We start from the raw sequence: 14,753 nt of genomic DNA, 5'->3' as shown, positions 1-14,753 counted from the left end.
AAACAGCTTCTGACTGGTTTAAAATATATACGTATATTTAAATCCCAAGGTGTCTTCACACATTAAACAGTCATCCCTCAGTAACCATGGGGGATTGGTTCTAGGATCTCCCAAGGATACCACAATTCAAAGATGCTCAAGTCCCTGATATAAAATGCTATAGTATTTGCATATAACCTATGCACATCCTCTGTATGCTTTAAATCATCTCTAGATTACTTATAATACCTAACATAATGTAAATGCTACATAAGTAGTTGTTATATTTTATTGCTTAGGGAATAATGACAAGAAAAAAAGTTGGTACGTGTTCAGTACAGATGGAGGTTGAATCTACAGATGCAGAGCCCATGGATATGGAAGGCCAGCTGTACTATGTTGAAATATGACTCCTCAAGAGAAACAGCGGAGCAGGAACATGTTCAAAGAAAGGACAACTAAGGCTGGGCTCAGTGGCTCATGCCTGTTATCCCAGCACTTTGGGAGGCCAAGGCAGGAGGATAGCTTGGGCTCAGAAGTTTGAGATGAGACCAGCCTGGACAACATAGTGAGACCCTGCTTCTAACAAATATTAGCCAGTCATGATGGTGCACACCTGTGGTCCCAGCGATTCAGAAGGCTGAGGTGGGAGAATCACTTGAGCCCAGGAGATAAGGCTGCAGTGAGCCATGGTTGCACCATGGCTCACTGCAGCCTGGGTGACAGAGTAACCCTGTCTCAAAGACCAAAAAAAAAAAAAAGGAAAAATTATTTATTTCCCTGGAAGTAAGTTTGGGAGATGAACTCAGTTTGTGAATGACCACAGCATATGGGATTGGAACTTCAGCAGGAAGGGTGGTGTCATTGTAAGGAGCCTGGCCTGTGTTCCCCAGTCAAACCAAGTTAACGCCCTTGGATATTCGGCCTTGGTTCTTGGTCCTGGTCCAGCGGCCTCAGGCCTGAACAATGCCAGAGTCTTTCTCAAAGAGAGCATCCAGGAAAAAAAGACACAGTAGCCTCCCTAGGCCTGACTCAGGCTAGTTCTGCCGCCTAGCCTGGTCAGTCTGGCAATCTTAACAATCCTAACGATGCTCCCCTTAGCCCTCCACTGAGGTTTAGCACTAACATCTGGACTCAGGAGTCCTTACTTGCCATCTGCCCTAGCTAATTTCTGAGGGTGCTGGCATGGGGGCACCGTCCTGAGTCCACGGCCTTCACTTCTGCTCACCCACCTGGTCATGTGCTGAAGAGGCCAAGCAGCTATGAAAGCTTGGGTCTCAGCCAGGTGCGGTGGCTCACGCCTGTAATCCCAACACTTTGGGAGGCCAAGACGGGTGGATCACAAGGTCAGGAGTTCGAGACCAGCCTAGCCAACATAGTGAAACCCCATCTCTACTAAAAATACAAAAAAAAGAAAAAAGAAAGCTCGGGTCTCAGGAGTGTCTGCTGTTATAATATCCTGCCACCAGGAAGCCTTCGGACTGCTAGAAGAGAAATCTTGCCCCTGGTCCTAGTTGCACCAGCTTTTCCACTTGGTTCTACACTAACCCTGACTACTGTTGTCTTATCCTCACAGAAAGTTGAGGAAGCGAGCGGCCAAGGTCTCAGCCCGACACCCCAAGCCCCTTGGAAGGTATGGGGCAAGAGCCCCGGGACCTCCTGCTCGCCCTGCGGCCCCAGGAGGTGGATGGATGGATGGCAGCCATCCATGTCCATCCCAGAACCCAAGCTGATGGATTAGGGATGTGAGGAAAATGGCTTTTCCTGCAGGGAGGTGAAGGGAGCAGGCATGGGGATGGGCAAGCTTTGATCTTAGGGAACACAAGGAGGAAGTAATGTAGGAGTGGCTGAGAAGCCTCCCATCTTTACACCTACCCCAAATAGCTTGGATTCCAGCCTCAGCCACCTTCATTCTTCCTCCTTCCTGCCCCCTCCATCACCTCCCTTAGTTCACCCACATTCCCATTCTCTCCCCTCTCCACCTTTCCTCTTCCCTTCTCCCCTTCCCAACTCCCCCACCTGGATTGACATCGCTAGATTTCCCATTACTGTTGCTGAATCCAGAGAGCAGCATGAGTTCCTGAAATGCAGTTCAATGGTGTTCAGCAGACGGTGGATGCGGAAAATCTTCATTTTTCCCATCCCCATGCTGCCCACAAAGGGTCTTTCCCAGAAACAGAAAAATAACCCTGTACCTTTCCTGCGCCACATATGTAACCACTACCTCTACCAACTTCCTTCTCCTTTTTGCGGACCAATCACCAAGCTTAAAGTCAAACCCAAACCCCGAGTGGTCAGGGGGCCACACAAGAGGTAAATAAAATTCAGGTTGGGTGGAAAGGAGAGGGAGCATGGAGTTACTCGGCTGTGGCCAGGGAGGGAGGGGGTCCAGGAGGCCTTTGTGGCTGAAAGAGCTGACCAAGAGGAGGAGCAGCAGCAGCTCTTAGAAATCACCTTCCAGGGCATTTACTGAAGTGTTACGCAAGACTGGTCCTTACCTTGGTCTCAGGAATGATGCTTGTCCTAGGATTTGTTTTTTCACTCACTGACTACCTCGTTCCACATGTTTACTTATCTTCCCCTGCTGAGTTCCAGGAGACAACATGGTGCTTTTCTCTTTCAGACGCCATACTTGCGTCTCCTGTAAGAGGTTACATTTGCCTAAAGGATCAGTGTTCCCAAATCAAATGCTTTATTTGATTAGTTGTTAAAAATAAGTGCTACCAGCTTACTCGAGATGGAGGGAAACTCAGCGTCCCCTTTGGAACCTTTACCAGGAATGCAGTCAGATTGACAGCCCCTGCCTCTCTGGCTCATTTTCCACAATTAGGCTCCCAGTTCCCTAATTTTCCTCCTGGGCTCCTTTAGAACTCGAAGTGGGAAGCTTCCAACCCCTGTAATTACATCTAACTTGTCTTCAAAAGGCAGTTTGCACATTAAAAGTCTCCCTGATAACTTCAAGAGGGACTGAAGTATCGATAATTCATCCCTTTCTCCCCTCCTGTTCTCAACAAGTTCTAGTCTCACCCAGTGGTCCCCTCATAGCCCTCATTCCCCAGCTTCTCTGGTGGTTTCAAAGGATCTCAGAAATTTGGGGATGTTCTTGTAGTGCCCTTCTAGCTTAGGGTCATCTTTGCCCAACATGGCCACACTCTAGCCTTCCCTGACCTGCACATTAAAGTACACACTGCCATTTTTATTTTGTTCATTGTAGACAACGGGAATGAGGATGTTTAGAAGATAGATGTATTTTTCCTGTGATGGGCTCCTTGACTTTTACTTTCAGCCAAACAGGACTGTGGGAGAGTGCCTGATCTCTTAGATCTTCAGGATCCATTTATCCTGAGCTTCCAAAGGTATTCTGTAAAGTCTCCAGGCTTCCTTTGTCTGTTTTGTGTATAAACTTTTCCTCCTCCTGTGTCTTCCTAGCCAATGGCTTCAAGTCATCATATTCCATCCTTCCTCTGACATCAAGTGATAGGGCACATTATTGCAATAATGCATGACTACATCAGCCTCACAGGCCCGTTCCACCAGCACCAGACCTCATTTTCTTCCCTTTCTCTGCGGGCAGAGTGTACTTCACTCTGGCACGTGCCTCACTGCAGCCTCTCATTCTACTGGTATCGATAAAGAAGTCCCCCCATTCTCTCAAACATCTCGGCAGCATTTCCAAGCCTTAGCATCTATAGTTCAGTCCCATTATCCTATTCAGATGGCTTTGGGACACTGTTACGTTGAAATTGCAGAAGCATGGACTGCCTTTTTAAAGACTTACACAGCACAGGTCCTGGGATGTCTTTGCCATTTTGTTGTTCACATCCATCTCCTTTCTCTGGTCATTTATTCCCTCAAACTTTGACCTGTCCTGCATTTATACATCTTCATTCTTGCATATGCCAGTCCCAGTTTTTCTTGCGTCTACCTGCTGGTCTGTTCTTGCTGCATCTGCCCCTCCTAATCTGTCCTGCAGAGTCTCTGGCCTCTGCGGAGCTATGGAGATGGGAGACTTCCTTAGTCCTTTGCATCCTGACTCATTCAGTTATTCCAGTCTCAGCATCACAGAAGGACTTGCTCGCCCTGGCTTTTCAGGCTTCCTGTGTCAGCCACTCCCTCCTGGCCATTTCTTCCAACTGGAAAGTCCTGGTTTCCCCTTCCCTGAGGCCTTAGCCTCAGCCTCCTTTAGGGCCAGCAGCCTGAAACCACTTGGAACAGTTTCTTCCAGGCAAGTCGAGACTAGCCATCCTTCTCTTAAGGTTGTTCTACTGCAGGAGGTCCCCAAGGCCCCTCCTATCTGGGTAGTTGAGGCTCCCTCAGCCTGGAAACTCAGCAATCCCCATGTATCTCCCGAGGGAAACATGGAAGGGGGAAGAAGAGGAGATAAATGGTCACAAAAGGGTGGGGGGCATGGTGGAGGCATGAAGTGGGAGGATGTTTGTGGGGCCAAGAGGCAGGAGCATTGTTTTACCCTACTGCACCTCACTCCTGTCCCCCTAGGCTGCTAGCCCAACGGCAGCAACACTCCTTTGGTCTGCATGGGGTGGCGTGCGTGGGCACGGAGGCCCACCTCTCCCTCTGTTCCCTGGAGTTCTATCGTGCCAATGACACCGCCAGGTGCCCTGGGGGGGGCCCTGCAGTGGTGAGCTGTGTGCCAGGCCCTGTCTACGCGGCATCCAGTGGCCAGAAGAAGCAACAACAGTCGAAGCCTCAGGGGGAGGTGTGTGAGACAGTGATTATGACCTTTCCCACCCCAGGTGGAGAACCCCTAGCCTGGCAACCCCAGACTAAGCACAGCCCTGACCTTTGAGGACAGAGAGGAGCCTTCCAGGGGGTGGGCCACAGACCTGATACCACCCACTCCCTTCCACCAAAGTCTCACTCATCTCCCAGGTCTGCTTAGCCCTCCGTGCAGATGTTGCCATTTGCCTCTGTTGGGCACTTCTCTCTTCTATAGGCCCGTGTCCGTCTAAAGGGCGGCGCCCACCCTGGAGAGGGCCGGGTAGAAGTCCTGAAGGCCAGCACATGGGGCACAGTCTGTGACCGCAAGTGGGACCTGCATGCAGCCAGCGTGGTGTGTCGGGAGCTGGGCTTCGGGAGTGCTCGAGAAGCTCTGAGTGGCGCTCGCATGGGGCAGGGTGAGGTGGCATGGAGGTGGGAGGGAGAGGGAAGGAGGTACATGCTCCTGGGGGGCATATTCCTTCGGAAGGTTAGGTGTCCCCTGGGCAGACAATATATGCTTAATTACAACTTCCTGATCTTTGCCATCTGGCCCTAGGCATGGGTGCTATCCACCTGAGTGAAGTTCGCTGCTCTGGACAGGAGCTCTCCCTCTGGAAGTGCCCCCACAAGAACATCACAGCTGAGGATTGTTCACATAGCCAGGATGCCGGGGTCCGGTGCAACCTACCTTACACTGGGGCAGAGACCAGGGTCAGTCATCCTCTCTACCTTGGTTGAGGTCTCTTTCATCCTATCCAGGTCTGGTCTCCAATCTACAGTCCAATGGCCCCCAGCCCATTGCCCCAGGCCCCTGCCCTCCTGCAGCTCCCACCTGACCCATCACTTGCTAGCCCATTATGTGCCTGAGTCACGCTTCAGCCACATCTGTTAGAGACTCCCACTACCTCACCCCAAAGCTTTCTCCAGCGCTTCCATTCTGTGTCACTACAGATCCGACTCAGTGGGGGCCGCAGCCAACATGAGGGGCGAGTCGAGGTGCAAATAGGGGGACCTGGGCCCCTTCGCTGGGGCCTCATCTGTGGGGATGACTGGGGGACCCTGGAGGCCATGGTGGCCTGTAGGCAACTGGGTCTGGGCTACGCCAACCACGGCCTGCAGGTGAGTGGGAAGGAAAGGGGAGCCGAGGCTGTTGTCTCAAAGCCTGTGTTTTGGGCAGAGGGCTGAGGAATGAGTCCCTTGGCCCAAGATGCTGGATCCTGGGCCTTACAGAAACATCTGCATATGTCCCCAGGAGACCTGGTACTGGGACTCTGGGAATATAACAGAGGTGGTGATGAGTGGAGTGCGCTGCACAGGGACTGAGCTGTCCCTGGATCAGTGTGCCCATCATGGCACCCACATCACCTGCAAGAGGACAGGGACCCGCTTCACTGCTGGAGTCATCTGTTCTGAGAGTGAGTGAAGGAGGGGGTGATGCATGCCAGGGAAGGGAGTGTCTGGGCCACCCGTTTGCAGGGAAAGGGGGCTGTAATCTGGAGGGGCACTTCTTCCCCATAAAAGAGCCAGTTTCGCCGGGTGCAGTGGCTCACGCCTGTAATCCCAGCACTTTAGGAGGCCAAGGCGGATGGATCACGAGGTCAGGAATTCAAGACCAGCCTGACCAAGATGGTGAAACCCTGTCTCTACTAAAACTACAAAAATTAGCCAGGCGCAGTGGCAGGCGCCTATAATCCCAGCTACTCGGGAGGCTGAGGCAGGAGAATCACTTGAACCCAGGTGGCAGAGGTTGCAGTGAGCCAAGATCACGCCGCTGCATTCCAGCCTCGGCAACAGAGTGAGACTCCATCTCAAACAAACAAACAAACAAAAACAAAAACAAAAAACTAGTCTTACACACTAGGGAGGGATGGAAGCACCCCTCTCTGTGAAGTCAGCAGTGACTTCTAACACCCCCTTCCTTTCTTGGTGCAGCTGCATCAGATCTGTTGCTGCACTCAGCACTGGTGCAGGAGACCGCCTACATCGAAGACCGGCCCCTGCATATGTTGTACTGTGCTGCGGAAGAGAACTGCCTGGCCAGCTCAGCCCGCTCAGCCAACTGGCCCTATGGTCACCGGCGTCTGCTCCGATTCTCCTCCCAGATCCACAACCTGGGACGAGCTGACTTCAGGCCCAAGGCTGGGCGCCACTCCTGGGTGTGGCACGAGTGCCATGGGTGAGAGGGTAGGGAGTCAAGTAGAAGGGCAAGACCACGGGGGATGGGGCAAACCTTCTGGGGGCAGAGAAGGAAACAGAAGTTCCCTTCTCCCCACAGGCATTACCACAGCATGGACATCTTCACTCACTATGATATCCTCACCCCAAATGGCACCAAGGTGGCTGAGGGCCACAAAGCTAGTTTCTGTCTCGAAGACACTGAGTGTCAGGAGGGTGAGTTGGGGACTGAAGTGAACCACATGGTATCCATTGCACAGCCTTTCCTTACACTGACATATGCCAATCCCTCCAGATGTCTCCAAGCGGTATGAGTGTGCCAACTTTGGAGAGCAAGGCATCACTGTGGGTTGCTGGGATCTCTACCGGCATGACATTGACTGTCAGTGGATTGACATCACGGATGTGAAGCCAGGAAACTACATTCTCCAGGTACCTGGAGTCTGGGGCTTCCAGATGGGTGAGTGGGGGGAGCGTTAAAGACACCTTTGAATTCGAGGATTGTCGCTGGGTTAAGTGGCCTTTTTCTCACTCACAGGTTGTCATCAACCCAAACTTTGAAGTAGCAGAGAGTGACTTTACCAACAATGCAATGAAATGTAACTGCAAATATGATGGACATAGAATCTGGGTGCACAACTGCCACATTGGTATTTGATGGGAAGAGCAACCCAGGAAGATTAGGGGATGGGAGGGAAAGACGTTCATTCTCTTTTCCATAGCTTGTTTCTCCATCTTCCCACCTTCCTGTAGAGCTCTCAGTCCCTCCACTTCTACCCACCCTTCTCCACAGTGCATCTATCTCCCTCCCTCTGTGCAGGGCGCCTCCCAAATTGCCTGTCCACTCTGCAGGTGATGCCTTCAGTGAAGAGGCCAACAGGAGGTTTGAACGCTACCCTGGCCAGACCAGCAACCAGATTATCTAAGTGCCACTGCCCTCTGCAAACCACCACTGGCCCCTAATGGCAGGGGTCTGAGGCTGCCATTACCTCAGGAGCTTACCAAGAAACCCATGTCAGCAACCGCACTCATCAGACCATGCACTATGGATGTGGAACTGTCAAGCAGAAGTTTTCACCCTCCTTCAGAGGCCAGCTGTCAGTATCTGTAGCCAAGCATGGGAATCTTTGCTCCCAGGCCCAGCACCGAGCAGAACAGACCAGAGCCCACCACACCACAAAGAGCAGCACCTGACTAACTGCCCACAAAAGATGGCAGCAGCTCATTTTCTTTAATAGGAGGTCAGGATGGTCAGCTCCAGTATCTCCCCTAAGTTTAGGGGGATACAGCTTTACCTCTAGCCTTTTGGTGGGGGAAAAGATCCAGCCCTCCCACCTCATTTTTTACTATAATATGTTGCTAGGTATAATTTTATTTTATATAAAAAGTGTTTCTGTGATTCTTCAGAGCCCAGGAGTCAGTGCTGGTGGTTGGAGGGACCTGCCCCCACTGGTTCATTTAACCCTCTGTCTCGGTGCCCTCAGAACCTCAGCCAGAAAGGCAAGGAGGAAATCAGAGCAGGAGCCTCATACTCTTGGTGATCTATTCATTCTGTGACCTCAGGGGTCACATATAAGGTCAGTGTTTCTCGTCCCCGCCGGATCTGCACTGCCAACTGGGATTGGGTTCGAACAGCTTCATAAACATCTTCAGCATTTTGTACCATCTGCTCCCCAATGGCCAAAATCACATCACCAGGCCGCAGACCAGCCCTATAGAGAAAAATGGACAGAGAGAAAGGAAGGAGTACAAAGCCTAGTTCAAGGACACATGCACACCTTGCCCATCCCCATATCACACTGCAGCCTCTCCCTCACCGGTGTGCAGGGGAGCCCAGGATGACTTTATGGATGAGTACACCATGCTGAACATCGGGAAAGCTTGGTTCTCGAAGCTGTAGTTCAGCAAGGATGCTGAAAGTACACAGATCACCCTATTAGCCAAACCCAGGCATTCTCCCCATCCTGAGTTCCACCTCAAGTCTCTCATCAACACATTGATAAATATATGGACAGGACATGGGCTAGGTACTACAAAATACAATGGCAACTCACTTTCTGTCTTCTAGCAATAAAGTGCAACATGTACATAAAAGATGTACACCACATGAGGGCACCAAATGACAAACAGTGTTAAATCAATAGCACTAATGTCATTCTAGAATACTAAGAGAAGCTTTAAGGGGAAAGAACTTAAGTTGAGCCTAAAAGGATGGATCTGATATTAACCATATAAAACAAGAACAGCATAAATAAAAAACATGGGAGTAGGAAATCAGGTTGGCTGAGTATTCATATAGGAAGGTATTACAGCCAGGTCTAGAAAGTTGATTTACAGACAGATGGAAAATGGCCCTTAAATGCCAAGTTAATGGATTGAAGGCTTGAAATCAAAGCAGTAACAGGATGAAATCAATCTGGTGACAGGTGTACAAAGTGGAGTGGGATAAGAAAGTCAAGATGATGAAGGGAGACAGCTCTTGTGATTATTTCAAGTGTGACACAGTTCATCTTAGATAAAGACAGAAATGAGAACAAAGCTCAATAGAGGTGCCCCCCTCTGATTACACTGGTCACATTACATGTCACTGTCCCTAAAGCTCATACCTGGGACTCAGGGTCAGCATCATCACCCCAATGTAGCGCCGCTGGGACCCACTGATTCCGGAGGAGGAATCTGTGACAGAGGGACAAATGAGCCCCACCCAGCTACATCCTTCCTTCCCTGCCCTCTTCTCCCAGTAGACCACCCTCCAGGAAGTCCCACTGAATGCCCTTCCCCTATTTCCACCACATTAAAGGAACCCGTTTCCCCATAAGGCAGGCTCACTCTTCTTTTCCCCACGATGCAGAAACTCTCGAAGACGATCAGAAGGGATGGCAAAGGAGATTCCAGCTGTGACCTTCATGGTGTTCACTCCAATCACCTCCCCATCCTGCAGGGATACAGCCCCCAGTTCCCTAGCCTAAACAAATAGTAGGGGATGGGGGCACCCGAACAAAAGTACCAGCAAGTGTTGGGGAGATCTGGTTGGATATTGAGAGATAGCCAACAAAGAACTGCTCAGAAACTTGACCAAACATCCTTGAATTAGGGGAAACCTACCCTTCCCACACTGACCTGGGGCAGGGATTCTTGGAAGGAAGGATGTCTCACTCACCAGGTTAACCAGGGGACCTCCAGAGTTTCCAAACTGTAGGACAAGGAGAAAACATGAAAGAGATCTGGGGATTCTAAGTCTGGGGGCATACCAGGATGTAGGTACTTTCTCCAAATTCTCTTCTTTCTCAGCCCATGAATAAGTGGCCACATTTTTGCAGCCTAAGCTCTATATAGGCTCATCCACCATATATCAGTTGGTGCTTGTACCACACAGCCTCTCCCCCCTCCCCCATCATTTGTCATTTCTCTCCTATCAGGACGCACATCAATAGCTGCATCAGTTTGAATGTATTCCACATTGGTTTGGGGGAGTCCCAGGTCTCTGGCTGGACGCTGAGCAGAGCTAACAATGCCGGATGTGATCGTGTTCTGCAGTGCAAAGGGACTTCCCATGGCAACAACAAACTCCCCTTGCCGGACATCAGCTGAGCGTCCCAGAGGCAGCGTGGGGAGAGGCTCCTAAGGGAGAATGGGTAAAAGAGACCTGTCATCTGAAGATGCGAGCAAATAAGCAGCTCCAACCAGACCTGGCCTACCCCAGCCCCCACCTTAGTCTGAATCCTCAGCGTTGCGATGTCTGCCACGGGATCCACAGCTGTGACCACGGCCTCATACGTGTCGCCGCTTAGCAGTCTCACACGGACTCTGCGCCGATCAGCCACCACATGGGCGTTGGTGACAATGAGCCCATCGGCAGCCACCACGAATCCTGAGCCGTTCGAGATAGGGACCTCGCGGCCCAAGAAAGGGTGCCTGAAATGGAGGGAAAGCACAGATAAGAGGAGGCTCTGACCCCTCCTACCCGCCCGCCCTCCAGCCTGTGGCTTCAGTGCCTCCCGGTCTACCCCCACCATTACCGGTCCAGGATCTCGATATAGACCACGGCAGGTGCTGTCTTCTCCACCACATCTGCGATGAAGTTGTACTGACTCCGGGGAGAAGCGGGCGGCGGGCTAGGGACGGCGGCGAGGACGGCCGGAGGACCCCGACCCCCGCCCCACAACAACAACAGCACTGCCCCCCCAGCGCCCAGCGCCACCGCCAGCCACGCGCGCGAACGGGTTCCAGAGTTCTCTGAGGCCTCCCGGGTCCTGGTATCTGGGGTCACCGCAGTCAGTTGTGCCCGGGGACCCGGGGTCCCAGACGTCAGGCATGCTCGGGGTTCAGTGACCCCAACAGACAACCGGGCCCAGAGACTGGGGGTCCCATAAGTCACTCGGGCCCGGGGGTCAGAAGTTCCTGACGTCAGCAGGGCCCGGAGGTCAGGGGTCAAACGGGGTCTCCTCCCCCAGCGAATGCCCCCCAAAGCCCGCCATGCCCGAAGGCTCCAGCCTGCACCCCGCCCCGCCCTCGGCGCAGCCATCAGCTCCGCCTTGGCTGCCTCCTCGCCCGCCCTACTCAGAGGCGGCACCCAGGACGCGAGCAGGCGGACAGTAGGACGCGGGGCACGCCGGTACCTGAAGTCCTTCAGAAGTGCACGCCGGGACCAGGATTCCGGGAGGCCGACTCCTCCCTGCCCCACGAATGCCGGGAATTGTGGTCTCCGCCGGACGCGAGTTGTGAGACGGCCCAAGGGGCCGCGGGGTATGCTGGGACCGCTAGCCCTTCCGGCGCGCCTCAGGACTTCGGGTCCCCTCACCCCGGGCGGATGCCCAAAGACTCCGCCTTCCCAAGAGCCCCTGCGGCCGGGCGCGAAAATGGCGGCGGCGGCGACGGCCGGGCGCTCCTGAAGCAGCAGTTATGGAGCTTCCCTCAGGGCCGGGGCCGGAGCGGCTCTTTGACTCGCACCGGTAAGAGACCCGGCGGGAAGAGACCGATCCCCGCGTGCTCTCGGCCTTCGGCGCCTGACCACTTCGCCTCTCGCCCCCAGGCTTCCGGGTGACTGCTTCCTACTGCTCGTGCTGCTGCTCTACGCGCCAGTCGGGTTCTGCCTCCTCGTCCTGCGCCTCTTTCTCGGGATCCACGTCTTCCTGGTCAGCTGCGCGCTGCCAGACAGCGTCCTTCGCAGGTTCCGACGCGGGCGTTCGGGGAGTGTCAGAGCTGGGTCTGGCCCGAGGCCACACAGTCACCACCTCCTGTGTCCCCAGATTCGTAGTGCGGACCATGTGTGCGGTGCTAGGGCTCGTGGCCCGGCAGGAGGACTCCGGACTCCGGGATCACAGTGTCAGGGTCCTCATTTCCAACCATGTGACACCTTTCGACCACAACATAGTCAATTTGCTTACCACCTGTAGCACCGTGAGTGAGAGCGAGGCCGAGAGCGCCACGGGGCGGTTCCCTGGGGCCCAGCTGAAGGCCCCCCTGTCCCCACTCGCGTTCCCCATGGAGGATACTGAGCCTTACCCCTAACCCCGATCCTCTACCCAACATGTCAGTTTTTTTTTTCATTTTCCTCAATATTTTTCTTCTTGCTTTCTCTTCTCCTGGTTCCCAGCCTCTACTCAATAGTCCCCCCAGCTTTGTGTGCTGGTCTCGGGGCTTCATGGAGATGAATGGGCGGGGGGAGTTGGTGGAGTCACTCAAGAGATTCTGTGCTTCCACGAGGCTTCCCCCCACTCCTCTGCTGCTATTCCCTGAGGAAGAGGCCACCAATGGCCGGGAGGGGCTCCTGCGCTTCAGGTGGGTTTAGCACAGGTATGGGGCGCCAGCTGGGTAGGTGGTCAAGCTTGTGGGCCCTTGAGTTTTTACAACTTTCTTCGGCCCTTAGACCCCATCATCTCCAGTTCATTTCCTTTCTGTCCACTTTAAGTTCTTTCTCCTGAATCCCTTCATTCTTCAATTATGTGCTTGTAGAGTTTGACAGTTGCCTGTTATAAGGCAGGTGTGAGCTGCTGACTAGGCTGGCTGGATTCCCATCCTACTTTCTCCTTCCTCTTCTAGTTCCTGGCCATTTTCTATCCAAGATGTGGTACAACCTCTTACCCTGCAAGTTCAGAGACCCCTGGTCTCTGTGGTGAGTGTGTGTTGAACAGGGAATCTCTGGGGCTTGAAGGGGAAATTTCCCATCCCTGGCCCTGGCTTAGGCCTCATCTCATGCCCTCCCCTCAGACGGTGTCAGATGCCTCCTGGGTCTCAGAACTGCTGTGGTCACTTTTCGTCCCTTTCACGGTGTATCAAGTAAGGTATTAACTGTCCTCACATTTTGGTCGCTGGGGAGAGGCTCACCTCAAGGTCAAGGAATTAGTGGCCTCTGCCCTGTCCATTTGTAGATCTTTATATCAAGGTTCTACCACAGAGGCAACACAAAGTATTTACAGTATTTACTATTTTCCCACCCACCATGCAAAGAGGTACCAAAGTGGGGAATGGTGACAGCCTCTACCCTGGGTGCCCACAACATAGCCCTGGATTGTTTCTTTGCAGGTGGCTTCGTCCTGTTCATCGCCAACTAGGGGAAGCGAATGAGGAGTTTGCACTCCGTGTACAACAGGTGGTCGGGTGCACAGACAGGGTGGAGGCGGGGTCCCTGCTTAGGAGGAGAGGGAGGAAAGCTTGAGATCTTGACACTTCCAGTCTTCCAATTCTCCCTAGCTGGTGGCCAAGGAATTGGGCCAGACAGGGACACGGCTCACTCCAGCTGACAAAGCAGAGCACATGAAGCGACAAAGACACCCCAGATTGCGCCCCCAGTCAGGTATGTGGTCTCTATACATTACAGCTTTTGGGGTTTTTTTTTTTCGGCCTACTGTGATTCCTCCCCTATTTCTGTGCTAGTTAGCCTCTCCTTCTAGTTCTCTACTTACCAGAATTTCTTTTTTCTTTTTTTCCTTTTTCCACAGCCCAGTCTTCTTTCCCTCCCTCCCCTGGTCCTTCTCCTGATGTGCAACTGGCAACTCTGGCTCAGAGAGTCAAGGAAGTTTTGCCCCATGTGCCATTGGGTGTCATCCAGAGAGACCTGGGTATGGGAAAGGGTGGCCCCACACTGGGAGATGGGCACAGGGAGGAAAAGTGGGTTGTGAAGGAAGAAAGTAAGTAGGGAGTGGACTCCCTTCTCTTTTCTCCCCAGCCAAGACTGGCTGTGTAGACTTGACTATCACTAATCTGCTTGAGGGGGCCGTAGCTTTCATGCCTGAAGACATCACCAAGGGAACTCAGTCCCTACCCACAGCCTCTGCCTCCAAGGTGAGACCCAGGAAATGGTCAGATCCAAGTGTTGGGGTGAGTTGGGGGCAGGCTATGTACTCCCTTATCCCTGACCTTTCTTTTTTGATCCTGAGACCCTAGCATAGTGCCTCTCTTGCAAAGTAGGCATTCGATGCGTGTTTAATGATGATGACTCCGCAAGCCCTCTGACATTGTGATCACCTCAGTTTCCCAGCTCTGGCCCGGTGACCCCTCAGCCAACAGCCCTAACATTTGCCAAGTCTTCCTGGGCCCGGCAGGAGAGCCTGCAGGAGCGCAAGCAAGCACTATATGAATACGCAAGAAGGTGAGGGGGTTAGAGGACAATTAATAGGATGTGGCAAATTGGAGAATGGAATTATGGAGCTACTACGGCAAAGCCTGAATAATATCTCTCCCTATGTCCCACAGGAGATTCACAGAGAGACGAGCCCAGGAGGCTGACTGAGCTCAAAGGAACAGGATGGCACCCAGAGCCGCAGGACGGAGACTGGGGGCAGCCCTCACCCAACTCACAACAGGCTGGATGGGTGGGTGGTAAAAAGGGAAGGATGAGGCTCCCCCAATGTCACATTAAATTCATGGTTTTCATTCAA

General features: G+C 52.8%; 3 protein-coding genes across 18 annotated transcripts in view, besides 9 other annotated features; 2 read left to right on the top strand and 1 right to left on the bottom strand.

Annotated features, from left to right (window-relative positions):
- LOXL3 (lysyl oxidase like 3) overlaps positions 1 to 9,147 on the top strand; it is a 23,445-nt gene extending 14,298 nt beyond the window's left edge. For 5 of the 7 annotated variants that reach the window (XM_011533134.3, XM_024453176.2, XM_024453178.2 and 2 more), the window contains 10 exons: positions 4,477 to 4,696; positions 4,934 to 5,114; positions 5,255 to 5,409; positions 5,650 to 5,817; positions 5,951 to 6,113; positions 6,631 to 6,874; positions 6,974 to 7,089; positions 7,169 to 7,305; positions 7,412 to 7,523; positions 7,726 to 9,147. In XM_011533134.3, the coding sequence (XP_011531436.1) occupies positions 4,477 to 4,696; positions 4,934 to 5,114; positions 5,255 to 5,409; positions 5,650 to 5,817; positions 5,951 to 6,113; positions 6,631 to 6,874; positions 6,974 to 7,089; positions 7,169 to 7,305; positions 7,412 to 7,523; positions 7,726 to 7,799 (1,570 nt within the window). In that variant the 3' untranslated portion in view covers positions 7,800 to 9,147. The remainder of the gene's footprint in view (positions 1 to 4,476; positions 4,697 to 4,933; positions 5,115 to 5,254; positions 5,410 to 5,649; positions 5,818 to 5,950; positions 6,114 to 6,630; positions 6,875 to 6,973; positions 7,090 to 7,168; positions 7,306 to 7,411; positions 7,524 to 7,725) is intronic. The other 2 variants (NM_001289164.3, NM_001289165.2) reach the window with 1 other exon arrangement.
- Positions 4,426 to 4,927: an enhancer, noted in NCBI's record as "H3K27ac hESC enhancer chr2:74763605-74764106 (GRCh37/hg19 assembly coordinates)". NCBI's record gives its function as "activates a minimal SCP1, AML or CMV promoter by ChIP-STARR-seq in naive H9 embryonic stem cells {active_cell/tissue: H9 hESC(naive)}" and the evidence as "EXISTENCE:reporter gene assay evidence [ECO:0000049][PMID:30033119]".
- HTRA2 (HtrA serine peptidase 2) lies at positions 7,849 to 12,000 on the bottom strand. Of its 8 annotated transcripts, none has more exons than NR_135772.1 (9): positions 11,493 to 12,000; positions 10,893 to 10,964; positions 10,584 to 10,788; positions 10,300 to 10,494; positions 10,034 to 10,066; positions 9,703 to 9,808; positions 9,480 to 9,549; positions 8,691 to 8,786; positions 7,849 to 8,585 (listed from the first exon to the last, which is right to left on the bottom strand). NR_135772.1 is itself a non-coding variant. In NM_013247.5 (8 exons), the coding sequence occupies exons 1-8, from the start codon at positions 11,396 to 11,398 to the stop codon at positions 8,420 to 8,422; spliced, it is 1,377 nt and encodes a 458-aa protein (NP_037379.1). In that variant the 5' UTR covers positions 11,399 to 11,472; the 3' UTR covers positions 8,086 to 8,419. The 8 variants fall into 8 exon arrangements, 4 of the variants coding, with proteins under 4 accessions (NP_001308656.1, NP_001308657.1, NP_659540.1 ...); NR_135770.1 differs by having other exon boundaries at positions 10,893 to 10,960; NR_135771.1 differs by having other exon boundaries at positions 10,893 to 10,944.
- Positions 10,366 to 10,575: an enhancer, noted in NCBI's record as "active region_16075". NCBI's record gives its function as "activates an Ori minimal core promoter by ATAC-STARR-seq in GM12878 lymphoblastoid cells {active_cell/tissue: GM12878}" and the evidence as "EXISTENCE:reporter gene assay evidence [ECO:0000049][PMID:35858748]".
- Positions 10,586 to 10,665: an enhancer, noted in NCBI's record as "active region_16074". NCBI's record gives its function as "activates an Ori minimal core promoter by ATAC-STARR-seq in GM12878 lymphoblastoid cells {active_cell/tissue: GM12878}" and the evidence as "EXISTENCE:reporter gene assay evidence [ECO:0000049][PMID:35858748]".
- Positions 10,696 to 10,765: an enhancer, noted in NCBI's record as "active region_16073". NCBI's record gives its function as "activates an Ori minimal core promoter by ATAC-STARR-seq in GM12878 lymphoblastoid cells {active_cell/tissue: GM12878}" and the evidence as "EXISTENCE:reporter gene assay evidence [ECO:0000049][PMID:35858748]".
- Positions 10,786 to 10,915: an enhancer, noted in NCBI's record as "active region_16072". NCBI's record gives its function as "activates an Ori minimal core promoter by ATAC-STARR-seq in GM12878 lymphoblastoid cells {active_cell/tissue: GM12878}" and the evidence as "EXISTENCE:reporter gene assay evidence [ECO:0000049][PMID:35858748]".
- Positions 11,306 to 11,395: a silencer, noted in NCBI's record as "silent region_11668". NCBI's record gives its function as "represses an Ori minimal core promoter by ATAC-STARR-seq in GM12878 lymphoblastoid cells {active_cell/tissue: GM12878}" and the evidence as "EXISTENCE:reporter gene assay evidence [ECO:0000049][PMID:35858748]".
- Positions 11,306 to 12,255: a biological region, named in NCBI's record as "H3K27ac-H3K4me1 hESC enhancer GRCh37_chr2:74756279-74757161".
- Positions 11,371 to 12,253: an enhancer, noted in NCBI's record as "H3K27ac-H3K4me1 hESC enhancer chr2:74756279-74757161 (GRCh37/hg19 assembly coordinates)". NCBI's record gives its function as "activates a minimal SCP1, AML or CMV promoter by ChIP-STARR-seq in naive H9 embryonic stem cells {active_cell/tissue: H9 hESC(naive)}" and the evidence as "EXISTENCE:reporter gene assay evidence [ECO:0000049][PMID:30033119]".
- Positions 11,426 to 12,255: an enhancer, noted in NCBI's record as "active region_16071". NCBI's record gives its function as "activates an Ori minimal core promoter by ATAC-STARR-seq in GM12878 lymphoblastoid cells {active_cell/tissue: GM12878}" and the evidence as "EXISTENCE:reporter gene assay evidence [ECO:0000049][PMID:35858748]".
- AUP1 (AUP1 lipid droplet regulating VLDL assembly factor) lies at positions 11,699 to 14,753 on the top strand. Of its 3 annotated transcripts, none has more exons than NR_126510.2 (12): positions 11,699 to 11,825; positions 11,906 to 12,043; positions 12,123 to 12,273; positions 12,470 to 12,654; positions 12,916 to 12,988; positions 13,084 to 13,157; positions 13,399 to 13,465; positions 13,567 to 13,669; positions 13,815 to 13,934; positions 14,042 to 14,157; positions 14,284 to 14,464; positions 14,569 to 14,753. NR_126510.2 is itself a non-coding variant. In NM_181575.5 (12 exons), exons 1-12 carry the CDS (start codon positions 11,776 to 11,778, stop codon positions 14,603 to 14,605), a joined length of 1,233 nt encoding a protein of 410 aa, NP_853553.1. In that variant the 5' UTR covers positions 11,699 to 11,775; the 3' UTR covers positions 14,606 to 14,753. The 3 variants fall into 3 exon arrangements, 1 of the variants encoding a protein (NP_853553.1); NM_181575.5 differs by having other exon boundaries at positions 14,346 to 14,464; NR_126511.2 differs by having other exon boundaries at positions 12,123 to 12,654; positions 14,346 to 14,464.

This window comes from Homo sapiens, chromosome 2 (genome assembly GCF_000001405.40).
Source record: "Homo sapiens chromosome 2, GRCh38.p14 Primary Assembly".
Taxonomy (NCBI): Eukaryota; Metazoa; Chordata; class Mammalia; order Primates; family Hominidae; genus Homo; species Homo sapiens.
The sequence above is the reverse complement of the archived record's forward strand: the minus strand, read 5'-3'. Positions and strand labels throughout refer to the sequence as shown.

Coding starts and splice junctions, on each gene's coding strand:
- AUP1 (NM_181575.5), top strand. CDS start 11,776: ATGGAGCTTCCCTCAGGGCCGGGGCCGGAGCGGCTCTTTGACTCGCAC. Junction 13,158..13,398: donor TTCACGGTGTATCAAGTAAG/GTATTAACTGTC, acceptor GTTTCTTTGCAG/GTGGCTTCGTCCTGTTCATC. Junction 13,466..13,566: donor TTGCACTCCGTGTACAACAG/GTGGTCGGGTGC, acceptor AATTCTCCCTAG/CTGGTGGCCAAGGAATTGGG.
- HTRA2 (NM_013247.5), bottom strand. CDS start 11,398: ATGGCTGCGCCGAGGGCGGGGCGGGGTGCAGGCTGGAGCCTTCGGGCA. Junction 10,789..10,892: donor TATATCGAGATCCTGGACCG/GTAATGGTGGGG, acceptor CCTCCATTTCAG/GCACCCTTTCTTGGGCCGCG. Junction 10,495..10,583: donor CGCTGAGGATTCAGACTAAG/GTGGGGGCTGGG, acceptor ATTCTCCCTTAG/GAGCCTCTCCCCACGCTGCC.